At 43.2% G+C, this 15,395-nt stretch overlaps 1 long non-coding RNA gene across 3 annotated transcripts in view, besides 1 other annotated feature; it reads left to right on the forward strand.

The window, feature by feature from the left end:
- LINC01591 (long intergenic non-protein coding RNA 1591) overlaps positions 1-15,395 on the forward strand; it is a 65,589-nt gene that overhangs the window by 24,056 nt on the left and 26,138 nt on the right. The gene's annotated exons all lie outside the window — the stretch shown is intronic.
- Positions 1,156-1,788: an enhancer, noted in NCBI's record as "NANOG-H3K27ac-H3K4me1 hESC enhancer chr8:136271585-136272217 (GRCh37/hg19 assembly coordinates)". NCBI's record gives its function as "activates a minimal SCP1, AML or CMV promoter by ChIP-STARR-seq in primed H9 embryonic stem cells {active_cell/tissue: H9 hESC(primed)}" and the evidence as "EXISTENCE:reporter gene assay evidence [ECO:0000049][PMID:30033119]".

The following is a 15,395-nucleotide window of genomic DNA, read 5'->3' on the forward strand; positions in this document are numbered from 1 at the left end:
CTCTAAACTCTCTCTACCTCCAATTTTCTATGTAGAGCCTCATGAGAAAATGAGAGTGAAAATGATGATTAAACTGTAAGAATAAAGTGTCTTCCTAAGGAAAGGCTGGCACTTTCTAAGGACATATAATTAAAGCCCAATAGATTAAGATTCCTTTAAGAAATGAGTAATACAAAGATTAAGGCATATCTGATGTAGCTTCTTGAATGGCTGCTCAAAGATTTACAGGCAAAGGATAAATCAGCTCTTCTGAGAGAGAAGAAGATACATCTTATTGCTCACATCTGGCAGTGGAAGGTAAAGTGTGCAGAAAAGGAGAAGTGGCTGGCAATCTTCAAGCAAGGCAGCAGAAGTGCTTTTGCAAATATATTCTGGATGAAGAAAAAGAAAATCCCCGTCAAGTGAATGGTTTAGTTGTCAGTCATGAGTCAAGTGATTTGGCATGTCACATTTCTTTCTTGGGCAGGTTTTTTATCACACACAGAAAATGAGCAAAGGAACTTAGAGTAATTAGAAGGTAATGAAGTTGTCAGAATAAGCTATTGACCAAAGAGCAGACAAGGGAATAGATGAAAAATTTAAACGTTTCTAATTTAGCTGATCTGGAAGCTGCACATCCTTTGGCCATAGGGGAATTATCCTCAGTGCCTAATGAATGAGTTTTTCTGGGCAAAGCAGGGAGCATCCCAGAAGACAAAGGAAGAAGGAATTGGAATCAAAGTCCAAAATGTTAATGGTGATAGTAATAGAAATTATAATTAATCCCTTACATTTTTATCTGTCTTTGCAAAGCACTTGAACATATATTACCTCATTCAATTTGCACAGAAACCTAAGAGGGAAGAAACATCCAAGTATGTAAGTATGGAAACTTGAGGTCAGAGAGTGCAATCACTTACTTAAGGGTCGCACACTGGGAGGAGCCAAGATGGCCGAATAGGAACAGCTCCGGTCTACAGCTCCCAGCGTGAGCGACGCAGAAGACTGGTGATTTCTGCATTTCCATCTGAGGTACCGGGTTCATCTCACTAGGGAGTGCCAGACAGTGGGCGCAGGACAGTGGGTGTGCGCACCGTGCGCGAGCCGAAGCAGGGCGAGGCATTGCCTCACCTGGGAAGCGCAAGCGGTCAGGGAGTTCCCTTTCCGAGTCAAAGAAAGGGGTGATGGACGCACCTGGAAAATCGGGTCACTCCCACCCGACTATTGTGCTTTTCAGACCGGCTTAAAAAACGGCGCACCACGAGACTATATTCCCACACCTGGCTCGGAGGGGCCTATGCCCACGGAATCTCGCTGATCGCTAGCACAGCAGTCTGAGATCAAACTGCAAGGAGGCAGCGAGGCTGGGGGAGGGGCGCCAGCCATTGCCCAGGCTTGCTTAGGTAAACAAAGCAGCCGGGAAGCTCGAACTGGGTGGAGCCCACCACAGCTCAAGGAGGCCTGCCTGCCTCTTTAGGCTCCACCTCTGGGGGCAGGGCACAGACAAACAAAAAGACAGCAGTAACCTCTGCAGACTTAAATGTCCCTGTCTGACAGCTTTGAAGAGAGCAGTGGTTCTCCCAGCAGGCAGCTGGAGATCTGAGAACGGGCAGACTGCCTCCTCAAGTGGGTCCCTGACCCCTGACCCCCGAGCAGCCTAACTGGGAGGCACCCCCCAGCAGGGGCACACTGACACCTCACACGGCAGGGTATTCCAACAGACCTGCAGCTGAGGGTCCTGTTTGTTAGAAGGAAAACTAACAAACAGAAAGGACATCCATACCGAAAACCCATCTGTACATCACCATCATCAAAGACCAAAAGTAGATAAAACCACAAAGATGGGGAAAAAACAGAACAGAAAAACTGGAAACTCTAAAACGCAGAGCGCCTCTCCTCCTCCAAAGGAACGCAGTTCCTCACCAGCAACGGAACAAAGCTGGATGGAGAATGATTTTGACGAGCTGAGAGAAGAAGGCTTCAGACCATCAAATTACTCTGAGCTACGGGAGGACATTCAAACCAAAGGCAAAGAAGTTGAAAACTTTGAAAAAAATTTAGAAGAATGTATAACTAGAATAACCAATACAGAGAAGTGCTTAAAGGAGCTGATGGAGCGGAAAACCAAGGCTCGAGAACTACGTGAACAATGCAGAAGCCTCAGGAGCCGATGCGATCAACTGGAAGAAAGGGTATCAGCAATGGAAGATGAAATGAATGAAATGAAGCGAGAAGGGAAGTTTAGAGAAAAAAGAATAAAAAGAAATGAGCAAAGCCTCCAAGAAATATGGGTCTATGTGAAAAGACCAAATCTACGTCTGATTGGTGTACCTGAAAGTGATGCGGAGAATGGAACCAAGTTGGAAAACACTCTGCAGGATATTATCCAGGAGAACTTCCCCAATCTAGCAAGGCAGGCCAACGTTCAGATTCAGGAAATACAGAGAACGCCACAAAGATACTCCTCGAGAAGAGCAACTCCAAGACACATAATTGTCAGATTCACCAAAGTTGAAATGAAGGAAAAAATGTTAAGGGCAGCCAGAGAGAAAGGTCAGGTTACCCTCAAAGGGAAGCCCATCAGACTAACAGCGGATCTCTCGGCAGAAACCCTACAAGCCAGAAGAGAGTGGGGGCCAATATTCAACATTCTTAAAGAAAAGAATTTTCAACCCAGAATTTCATATCCAGCCAAACTAAGCTTCATAAGTGAAGGAGAAATAAAATACTTTACAGACAAGCAAATGCTGAGAGATTTTGTCACCACCAGGCCTGCCCTAAAAGAGCTCCTGAAGGAAGCGCTAAACGTGGAAAGGAACAACCGGTACCAGCCGCTGCAAAATCATGCCAAAATGTAAAGACCATCGAGGCTAGGAAGAAACTGCATCAACTAACGAGCAAAATCACCAGCTAACATCATAATGACATGATCAAATTCACACATAACAATATTAACTTTAAACGTAAATGGACTAAATTCTCCAATAAAAAGACACAGACTGGCAAGTTGGATAAAAAGTCAAGACCCATCAGTGTGCTGTATTCAGGAAACCCATCTCACGTGCAGAGACACACATAGGCTCAAAATAAAAGGATGGAGGAAGATCTACCAAGCAAATGGAAAACAAAAAAAGGCAGGGGTTGCAGTCCTAGTCTCTGATAAAACAGACTTTAAACCAACAAAGATCAAAAGAGACAAAGAAGGCCATTACATAATGGTAAAGGGATCAATTCAACAAGAGGAGCTAACTATCCTAAATATATATGCACCCAATACAGGAGCACCCAGATTCATACAGCAAGTCCTGAGTGACCTACAAAGAGACTTAGACTCCCACACATTAATAATGGGAGACTTTAACACCCAACTGTCAACATTAGGCAGATCAACGAGACAGAAAGTCAACAAGGATACCCAGGAATTGAACTCAGCTCTGCACCAAGTGGACCTAATAGACATCTACAGAACTCTCCACCCCAAATCAACAGAATATGCATTTTTTTCAGCACCACACCACACCTATTCCAAAATTGACCACATAGTTGGAAGTAAAGCTCTCCTCAGCAAATGTAAAAGAACAGAAATTATAACAAACTATCTCTCAGACCACAGTGCAATCAAACTAGAGCTCAAGATTAAGAATCTCACTCAAAGCCACTCAACTACATGGAAACTGAACAACCTGCTCCTGAATGACTACTGGGTACATAACAAAATGAAGGCAGAAATAAAGATGTTCTTTGAAACCAACGAGAACAAAGACACAACATACCAGAATCTCTGGGACGCATTCAAAGCAGTGTGTAGAGGGAAATTTATAGCACTAAATGCCCACAGGAGAAAGCAGGAAAGATAGAAAATTGACACCCTAACATCACAATTAAAAGAACTAGAAAAGCAAGAACAAACACATTCAAAAGCTAGCAGAAGGCAAGAAATAACCAAGATCAGAGCAGAACTGAAGGAAATAGAGACACAAAAAACCCTTCAAAAAATCAATGAATCCAGGAGCTGGTTTTTTGAAAGGATCAACAAAATTGATAGACCGCTAGCAAGACTAATAAAGAAAAAAAGAGAGAAGAATCAAATAGACACAATAAAAAATGATAAAGGGGATATCACCACCGATCCCACAGAAATACAAACTACCATCAGAGAATACTACAAACACCTCTACGCAAATAAACTAGAAAATCTAGAAGAAATGGATACATTCCTCGACACATACACTCTCCCAAGACTAAACCAGGAAGAAGTTGAATCTCTGAATAGACCAATAACAGGAGCTGAAATTGTGGCAATAATCAATAGTTTACCAACCAAAAAGAGTCCAGGACCAGATGGATTCACAGCCGAATTCTACCAGAGGTACAAGGAGGAACTGGTACCATTCCTTCTGAAACTATTCCAATCAATAGAAAAAGAGGGAATCCTCCCTAACTCATTTTATGAGGCCAGCATCATTCTGATACCAAAGCCGGGCAGAGACACAACCAAAAAAGAGAATTTTAGACCAATATCCTTGATGAACATTGATGCAAAAATCCTCAATAAAATACTGGCAAACCGAATCCAGCAGCACATCAAAAAGCTTATCCACCATGATCAAGTGGGCTTCATCCCTGGGATGCAAGGCTGGTTCAATATACGCAAATCAATAAATGTAATCCAGCATATAAACAGAGCCAGAGACAAAAACCACGATTATCTCAATAGATGCAGAAAAAGCCTTGGACAAAATTCAACAACACTTCATGCTAAAAACTCTCAATAAATTAGGTATTGATGGGACGTATTTCAAAATAATAAGAGCTATCTATGACAAACCCACAGCCAATATCATACTGAATGGGCAAAAACTGGAAGCATTCCCTTTGAAAACTGGCACAGGACAGGGATGCCCTCTCTCACCACTCCTATTCAACATAGTGTTGGAAGTTCTGGCCAGGGCAATCAGGCAGGAGAAGGAAATAAAGGGTATTCAATTAGGAAAAGAGGAAGTCAAATTGTCCCTGTTTGCAGACGACATGATTGTTTATCTAGAAAACCCCATCGTCTCAGCCCAAAATCTCCTTAAGCTGATAAGCAACCTCAGCAAAGTCTCAGGATACAAAATCAATGTACAAAAATCACAAGCATTCTTATACACCAACAACAGACAAACAGAGAGCCAAATCATGAGTGAACTCCCATTCACAATTGCTTCAAAGAGAAGAAAATACCTAGGAATCCAACTTACAAGGGATGTGAAGGACCTCTTCAAGGAGAACTACAAACCACTGCTCAAGGAAATCAAAGAGGATACAAACAAATGGAAGAACATTCCATGCTCATGGGTAGGAAGAATCAATATCGTGAAAATGGCCATACTGCCCAAGGTAATTTACAGATTCAATGACATCCCCATCAAGCTACCAATGACTTTCTTCACAGAATTGGAAAAAACTACTTTAAAGTTCATATGGAACCAAAAAAGAGCCCGCATCGCCAAGTCAATCCTAAGCCAAAAGAACAAAGCTGGAGGCATCACACTACCTGACTTCAAACTATACTACAAGGCTACAGTAACCAAAACAGCATGGTACTGGTACCAAAACAGAGAGATAGATCAATGGAACAGAACAGAGCCCTCAGAAATAACGCCGCATACCTACAACTATCTGATCTTTGACAAACCTGAGAAAAACAAGCAATGGGGAAAGGATTCCCTATTTAATAAATGGTGCTGGGAAAACTGGCTAGCCATATGTAGAAAGCTGAAACTGGATCCCTTCCTTACACCTTATACAAAAATCAATTCAAGATGGATTAAAGATTTAAACGTTAGACCTAAAACCATAAAAACCCTAGAAGAAAACCTAGGCATTACCATTCAGGACATAGGCGTGGGCAAGGACTTCATGTCCAAAACACCAAAAGCAATGGCAACAAAAGCCAAAATTGACAAATGGGATCTAATTAAACTAAAGAGCTTCTGCACAGCAAAAGAAACTACCATCAGAGTGAACAGGCAACCTACAACATGGGAGAAAATTTTCTCAACCTACTCATCTGACAAAGGGCTAATATCCAGAATCTACAATGAACTCAAACAAATTTACAAGAAAAAAACAAACAACCCCATCAAAAAGTGGGTGAAGGACATGAACAGACACTTCTCAAAAGAAGACATTTATGCAGCCAAAAAATACATGAAAAAATGCTCATCATCACTGGCCATCAGAGAAATGCAAATCAAAACCACTATGAGATATCATCTCACACCAGTTGGAATGGCAATCATTAAAAAGTCAGGAAACAACAGGTGCTGGAGAGGCTGTGGAGAAATAGGAACACTCTTACACTGTTGGTGGGACTGTAAACTAGTTCAACCATTGTGGAAGTCAGTGTGGCGATTCCTCAGGGATCTAGAACTAGAAATACCATTTGACCCAGCCATCCCATTACTGGGTATATACCCAAATGACTATAAATCATGCTGCTATAAAAACACATGCACACGTATGTTTATTGTGGCATTATTCACAATAGCAAAGACTTGGAACCAACCCAAATGTCCAACAATGATAGACTGGATTAAGAAAAGGTGGCACATATACACCATGGAATACTATGCAGCCATAAAAAATGATGAGTTCATGTCCTTTGTAGGGACATGGATGAAATTGGAAACCATCATTCTCAGTAAACTATCGCAAGAACAAAAAACCAAATACTGCATATTCTCACTCATAGGTGGGAATTGAACAATGAGATCACATGGACACAGGAAGGGGAATATCACACTCTGGGGACTGTGGTGGGGTGGGGGGAGGGGGGAGGGATAGCATTGGGAGATATACCTAATGCTAAATGATGAGTTAATGGGTGCAGCACACCAGCATGGCACATGTATACATATGTAACTAACCTGCACAATGTGCACATATACCCTAAAACTTAAAGTATAATAAAAAAAAAAAAAAAAAAAAAAAAAGGTCGCACATTACCCTCACTAGTGCAGGATTGAGACTTGAATTCTGGTCCTTCCAGCCCACAGCAAAGCCCTGTTAATTATACATTGACATGGGGAGCATTGAGGGTAATTAAAGAAATTGACAGACCGGTTAAATTAGATCCGTGCAATGAAAATTGCCAGACCCTGTTTCCTTTCTTCTTACATCCTTCCCTTCCTGCTTCCCTGGTCCCTTCTGCCCTCTCTTCATTATTCATTATTCATTATTTTAATCTAATGAAGTGGGTTCCCTGAAAAGAATCTGGGCTTCCTCTGTTTATTCTGGCTGGTGCTGCCAGTGGGGAAAAAGACCAAAAGATAATTATTTACTTAGCACAGTTTCTGTGTTTTGCCCATGATATGATTAGGCTTTGTGTTCCCACCCAAATCTCATCTTGAATTGTAATCCCCATAATCCCCACATGTCAAGACCAGGTGGAGATAATTGAATCGTGGGGGCAGTTTCCCCAATGCTGTTCCTGTGATAGTGAGTTCTCACAAGATCTGATGGTTTTATAAGGGACTCTTCCCCCTTCACTCAGCACTTCTCCTTCCTGCCGCCTTGTGAAGAAGGTGCCTTGCTTCCCCTTCACCTTCTGCCATAATTGCAAGCTTCCTAGGGCCTCCCCAGCCATGCTGGGGAGGTTAAGTCAATTAAACCTCTTTCCTTTATAAATTACCTAATCTTGGGCAGTTCTTTATAGCTTTATGAAAATGGAGTAATACAACTCACAAGGTCTCTCTTATTCAGTGCTCAAAATCACTCTGCAAGGTAGGGTGTAATTACCCCCTCTGTTGCGCATGCAAAAACTAGGACCCAGAAAGACTAGACAACTCACCCTAAAACTCCACTAGATAAGTTGTGCAGCTCCACCCAGTGTCTCCGTAATCAGTATTTACATTCTTTTTACTATTACTTCCATCTGCCAGGTCATGTTGGCTGGAGAACAACAGGCCACAGAGATGACAATTTAGCCATGAAGGTAAAGGCTGAGAGTGAATATGGCTCAACCTGCAAGTCTGCAAAGATCCTTCCAGTCATTGGCACATTGTCTCCCCAGGCTCAGCCTGTCCCATAAATGTGCGTCTCCAGAAATCTGTGCTCAACTCTGATCTGCTTGATCCACAGCCCTCCCCAATGATCTCTTCCATGTCATAGCTACAACTGCCCCCTTCTTATTGATAACTTCTCAACGTGTCTTTTTCACCAGACTTCTTTCCTGACCTAGAAATTTCCATATGCAACTGTCTGAGCAGCCCACCTGTCTGCTTCACATCCATGTCCTACTCGGCATATGTGAAGGTGACAAGATTACACCCCCTCTTTTGGGCTAAGTCAAACCCTAAGTCTTGACTCCTCCCTCTCCTTTACACTCCACACTGAATTACTCATCAAGGTTGGGGTAATCCTATTTCCCAAAGTTCTCTTGAATTCATGCTTTTCCTTCTGGTCTTAATGCCAGCCTCATGTCAGCCCCCCATTCTCTCTCACCTATAACAGTTCCAGTAGATTGATAGGTGGTCTTTTAGCATCTACTCTTTTCTCATCTCCAACCAACTTTTCATTGTAATGCTGGAATGATCTTTCTAAAAGGAATGAATATCTGGCTGTACCATGCCCCTTCTTGTGGTTCTCTTCAACTTCATGTTAAAATCCAAGCTATGCAGCATGTGATTAAAGGATATTTGTTACTTGTTTCTGATTTCCTTCCCTTTCTCATCTTCTATGTTTGCTATCTTCGAACTTCAGGCTCCAGAAAGCCCGAACTGCCTGCACCACCCAAGAATTCTAGCCTCTCTCATCTCTTGATGCCTCTGTGTGCTATTTCTTCTGCCTGTAGCACCCATCTATTTCTTGTCCTTCAGAAAAATTTCTATTTATTCATCGAGTCTCATCTCAAGTTCTAGCTCTTCTATGAAACATTTTCTTACTCATCCAGGAAAGCTTAAGTGCTATTTCCCCTCTATTTACCCTGAACCTTGTTACGCACCTGTGTCCTGGCTGTTGGCATGCTGGGTAGGAACATCTGTAGGAATGACCGTCTTCTCCATTTGACTGGGAACTCTTCAGGGAAAACACCAAATATCTACTTATTTTGGTATCTCCATAAGGGTCAGGAAAAAAAAGTAAACATTTCTTAAATAAATTTAAGTAATCATCCAGTCTGTAAACCTCTGTCTGACCCAAGCACACTTCAAAATATATAGGCATAATAAGTCTTCATTAGTCAATTACTAAAGTGTTTTTCCATTAGAGGGAATAAGCTTTATTTCTGATTTTCCTCTAAATTATTGCCAAATGAAATTCTTTCTCCTTCTTTTCTCTGTTCTTAAAATTGCTGCCCTTATAAATAAATTTGCACAGATATTTTGTGTATGGAAATGAAATTGATACTATACGCACCTATTGGAATGGCTCAAAATGATAATATCAAGGACTAGCAAGGATACAAAGCAACTGAAAATTTTATGCATTGCTTGTGGAATGCAAAATAGCAAGCATTTTGGAAAACAGTTTGGCAATTTTTTATAAATTAAACTTCACTTACAATACGACCCAGCAATCCTATTCCTATTTACCCAAGAAAAAGAAAGATGCATGTTTACAGAAAAGCTGTACACAAATATTTATGGCAGTTTTATCCATAATTACCAAAAACTAAAAATAAGTCAAATGTACTTCAACTAGTGAATGAATAAACAAACTATGGTGCATAGTTTGTGTACCATATGCATAAGTGCATAAGCAATGCAGTCATTCTCAGCAATAAAAAGAAACAAACTGCCTAACACATTGTATACACATGCAGCTCAGGGCAGACCATACATGTGGACGTACTTCGTGAGCAGTGAAGCACGTGAAGGTGCTTTATCATTTTTAGTCTGAGAATATTCTAACCTAGACAAAGAACTAAAACAGACTTATTTTTCTCCAATCACTGCCTAGACTTGTGCTTTGTTGAATTCCCCATCTTGCCCCTTGGCGGCATCCTAGGAAGACTCCATCACTCTCCTGCCACATCAGGAATAAAGTCCAGGCTGGCTAGTCCAATTGAAGCTGCCAATCTCCTTCCAAATGCTACCCTCGCTTCTTCCCTGACCTGCAGCTCCAAGCTTTTGTGTACCTTAGGGCCTTGGTGTGAGGAAGCTGGAGGGTGTGCACTTTTATTCCTCTTCTCTTTTCTCTTCTGTGTCCCCTCCTGTCATAGAAAAGGGATGGAGGAGAGGAAAACACCTCTATAATGGGCCAATTTTTGGTGTACTCCTTGAAGCCCTAACTCCCACAGAGATGGTCTGTGGAGGTGGAGCCTTCAGAGGATGATGGGATTAGTGTTCTTATAAAAAAGGAAGAGAGACCAAAGTGCTTTTTCTCTCTCTCTCTCTCTGTCTGTCTCTCTCGCCACACACATACACATGCTAAGAAAAAGCTATGCGAGGACACAGCGAGAAAACAGCCATCTACAATCCAGGAAGAGAGCCTGTACTTGGAACTGAACGCTGCTGAATTCTGGTCTTGGGCATTCCAGCCTTCAGAGCTGTGAGAAAATAAGTGTCTGTTGTTGAAGCCACCTCATCTATGGTATTTTGTTATGGCAGCCTGAGCTAAGACAGCCTCTAACCAGTGCTGCCAAGCCCCTTGCTTGGCTGTCACTGGCCTCTGCTTCTTCCAAAAAGGAGCTTCAGATATGCATTTTCAACAACTCTCTTTGCTTCCCTGTCATGAGGAATTGCGTGTAAGGAGTGGGGAGCTGCATCTGCAAGCTTCTGGCAGGAGGAGACATGTGAAGTAGAGCTACCACTGATGTGCATTAGATTAAAGCCACTGCCAACCAGCAGCCAATTGTAATGTGAGCTAGAAATTGTCTATTGTTGTGAGCTGCTGAGATGTAGGAGTCATTTGGCACCTCAGCAAACTAATCCGCTACTTGCCCAAGCAAATCAGCAGGTGACTACAAAAGCTGAGATCCAACCTTGGAATGTGATACCTAGGATGCACTATTTTGATTGGCCAGTCACCTGTAACTTCCATGAGAGATTCTCATGGAGTTGCTTTCTTTTGGCTTTGGGACTCGGAGACTCATCTCTTGCTATGTACACTGAATTCCAACTATGCTTCCCTGGGAAAATTCCCTTGATGTGCTAGTCTTCTATTTCTATCGGCTGGAGAGGGGATGGGAGGACAGGGGATGAAGCACAGCCAGCTCAGCTGTGTCTCAATAATTGTTGGAGGCATTGTCTCCTCATTGACCTTGCCATTATTTTTGGTTTTCTATAGATAGACTGTTCTCTCTCTCTCTCTCTCTCCATCCACCGCGCGCCCCCCATTCCCCGCCCCCCCGCCTCAGCATTGAGTTCTAGTACCCAGTTCCAGGATAACAGAAAACTTTCACTCGATAGTGTGATATTACTTCTATTAACACACACCCCAAGTGATAGTTGGGCAAGACAATCAAGCCATCTCTTCTCAGGTATAGGACTGCTAAGGCAGTCCTGCATTCTGAAAATATCACTCATTCACAAGATCATTTGCTCGTGCATTCATAACTTTAACAAATACATATAAAATGCCTACTGAACTTACACAGGTGATGCTTGAGAGACACCTGAGAATAATCTTTGTAAGGGCTTTATTTGTGCAGGAAATGGGCATGACAAAGGCATGGATGAGCATGAAGCCCACAGGGGGTTGCCAGAACTCAGTAGCACTGAAACATAAGAAGAGAGTTATGACTCATTCTGGTGCAAGTGAGAGAGACCCAGCTCCAATGACACCGAGAGCAGAGGGAAGTAATGTTTTGGCCCATGCAGTTGACAAGCTTGGGGATAAGTTGGTCCAGGTTCACAAACAGAGCTGCAAGAATCTGCCTCTGTCTGTGGCTCTTCTTTCTTTCCCGCTGGTCTCGCTTTCAAGCACTGTCTCTCCATGTTGTGGCTTCTAGCTGCACTCATCAGATTTTCTTAGGTTCAAGATAAGACTCAACTTCACTGGCAGAGTTTGTAGAATGAGCTCTAATTGGCTCTGGTTTGTGCACTTTGACATTTCTGAACCAATCTCTGCAGTCAGAGGGATGCACTATTCAGTTGGCCAGGACTGGGTCATCTGACTGCTCTGAAGGCACAAACAGAGTTGGTATCACCTAAATCACAGCGATTGAGAGTGGGGGAGGGTGGTCCTCTGAAAAGAATTTGGATATTTTTCAGAAGAAGGGAGAAAGACAACTAGACAAACAGACCACAATATCTACTTTAGAGAGCACCAGGGACTGGGAAAAGAGAAGGTTGGAGGGGTGGACAGGGGCCCATCGTGACAGAGGGTAAACTCTATCTTGATGGTAGGCAGGAGCCAGGAGCAGCCAATTTATGTTTTTGAAAAATCCCTTTGATGGCAAGAAAAGGATGACTTAGTTGGGTGATGGTGAGGGGTAAAGAGAAATTAGGAAGTCAGGGGCTCTTGGGATGTTCCTCTTTAGTTATGAGGCAAAGTCCCGGAGCTGGGAAGGACAGAAGGGATGTAAAATCCTTTTACGTGTAGAATATAATTGATGTGGAGGCTGGTCGCTTGTGGTGGATGAAGGCATGGGCCCATGTTTGCAGGCTCGGGGTCCCTGGGCTCTGCAGGCTGGGGTGACTCTGTGAGATCCCAGGGAAGCACTGGTTTCTCCCATGCTGGGCCTGCTGAGCTGCTAACAAGCAACGCTGAAGTAACACACAATCTACCTGCTCAGAGTCATGGTCATGTCAAATTTTGGGCAGTACATTCTGGGTGGAAGTCCCAGGGGAGCTTGTCAGCTTGTCATTTCAAAGCTCTAGAGAGGTTTGGTCACCCAGCCCCAGGAAAATGCAAGCAATTTTGATGTTAGCAAAGATCTTCTAAACAAACAGAGGCCAGTTTTCAGAGCAAGAAAAGGCAAAGCAAACCAAAGGCAATTAGTTTCACATACTGCAAATGTTACCCTGCTCCTTGGAGTTGCAAATCTCCTTCAAACTCTGTCCAAATTATGAAGTTTGACTTAGAAAATTGGAGGAAACGGCAAACACGTAATCCATTTATATTTTTTATTATTGAGAAAAGGAAATGTCAGAATTAATAAATGTATACTATAATCACACACTAGTGATACCAAGGTTTGGAGTCAGAGAATACTTCAATTTTAAGAGATTTTGAGTCAACAAATATTTATTGAGTTCCTACTGTATACCAGATACTATATAGATAATTTTGCAACTGGGCTATAATTCTCAAATTACAATTGACGGAATGGAAGCCCAGAGAAGGCCCATGACTTATTCAAGGTCAGAGAGGAATAAAATGCATGTTTACCCCACTTGGAGGGATCACATGAAGGTCAGGTGCAGGAATTAATGGTAAAACATTTTGTGAACTGCACTGGTTTGTAAAAATGGAGTTGGGTAGGCCGGGCGCGGTGGCTCATGCCTGTAATCCCAGCACTTTGGGAGGCCGAGGCGGGTGGATCACGACTCAGGAGATCGAGACCATCTTGGCTAACACGGTGAAACCCTGTCTTTACTAAAAATACAAAAAATTAGCCAGACGTGGTGGCGGGCACTTGTAGTCCCAGCTACTCGGGAGGCTGAGGCAGGAGAATGGCGTGAACCTGGGAGGTGGAGCTTGCAGTGAGCCGAGATCGCGCCACTGCACTCCAGCCTAGGTGACAGAGTGAGACTCCGTCTCAAAAAAAAAAAATGGATTTGGGTATTTTTTATTATTTTTATGGAAGTACTTGCTAACAGACCACTTTACCATGCACATCCGCTATGCAGGGAAATGCAGTAGAATGCTAGTTTGTCCCCATAGCCCCCTGAGCCCTGAGCTCACCTCTTTGAGATTCAAAACTCAAAGTGCAGTAATTACTTGGTAGAGAAGCTGATTCATTCTATCATGTTACTAAGCAAGACAGAAAGTAAAGAAATGAGGCTCAGAATCTGGAAGACCCAAGGAAATGAGCCTGAGTCCCCTCATGCCTCCTCCTGCACCCCTGGTTAGCTCTAAACCCTGCTGCTGACCAAATGAAGCATCAACCCTCACTTTGTCTGACAAGGTCTTGTTGATGGCCTGGCCAACTTACTCCAGAGCTCATCACTTGCTCACTCAGCAACAGTCACTTGCCTGGTTTTCTCTTCCTCGGACATGCCATGTTTATTGCCTTCTGGTGGTTTTTGACTTTGTTGCTCCTTTTGCCTGCATTGCAGTTCCCCTGAGTCTTCACCTGGCTCTTTCTTCTCTTTAGGTCTCAGATGGGGTGTTTAGAGAGGCTTTCCCAGCCTGCATGGTGACACCAGGCCCAGACTTAGCCGTCTCTAATCTATTTTTGTCTAATTGTGTTCATAGCACTTACTAAACTTTTCTTGTATATTTATTTGCATACTTGCTTATTGTATTTCATTCTCATCCCCTCCTACCCACATCTGAATTTAAAAGTCCTGAGAGCAGGGCAGAAGTTGGCCTCATGCAGGGCCACAGTGCACAGAACAGTAACTGCTATGCAGAAGACATCTGATATTTATTTTTTACAAAACTGCGCTTTATCACCAGAAAAAGATCCTGTAAAGTATTGCTGACTTTAAAAGCAAGGCAGGAGGAGACACTAGATGTGCTTGCATTGCAATAGAAACCCAATATCCAGTAACTACAGAATTCAAGAACCACGCCTTTGTGGAAACCTAAGGTCTGGAAATTTTCATGTCACCTTTTTTTGTTCCTATTTCTTGACACCCATCAAGGAAAGCCCAGCTCTTGTTGATTTCACAGTCATCATCCAGCCTCAGCAGGGTCCCTTCAAGATGTGTACTCTCCCTTCACCATGCACAGGGCCAGAAGCTGCCTGTGGTCCCACCTGTGGACCTGCCTGTGGATGGCTACTTGCTCCCAGGAGAAGCTCCGATGGGGTGCTGCCTTCCTAGAGGATGGAGGTGCGAGAGGGCACCTTGAGAGAAGGGCTGAGTGCCTCGAAGGACCTGAGCAGGACTCAGCTTGAACATGAAAGGCCCTGAGGAAGTGGAGGGTTCAGAGAGGCTGGGGAAAGCCAGGTATGCAACGTGGTCCAAATCTCCTGTTCCCTGAGTCTGGAAGCAGCTCCACCTGACACTTGTGCCCTGAGAGCACGGTCAGTTTCATTCCAACAAACTAAACCCAGGTTGTGGTGACTGAAATGGGGGACAGAAACAAAATACATCTAACAGAGGTGGTTTTGGAAATTGCCTTTGAGCCCCAAAGCCTCTCCTCCAAATGCTGTTCCTCTGATCTTGTCCTATACCTGACCTCAGCCTCTCGCACCCACCATCATCCTGTAGAACTTCACTCCCCCATGATCTTAATGTCATGCATTCTGGCATCTGACCACCGTCCGGTTCATTCCTACCTGTGCCCCAACCGCAGCGGTGCTCTGGCAATAGGAACTC

Source organism: Homo sapiens, chromosome 8, assembly GCF_000001405.40.
Source record: "Homo sapiens chromosome 8, GRCh38.p14 Primary Assembly".
NCBI lineage: Eukaryota > Metazoa > Chordata > Mammalia > Primates > Hominidae > Homo > Homo sapiens.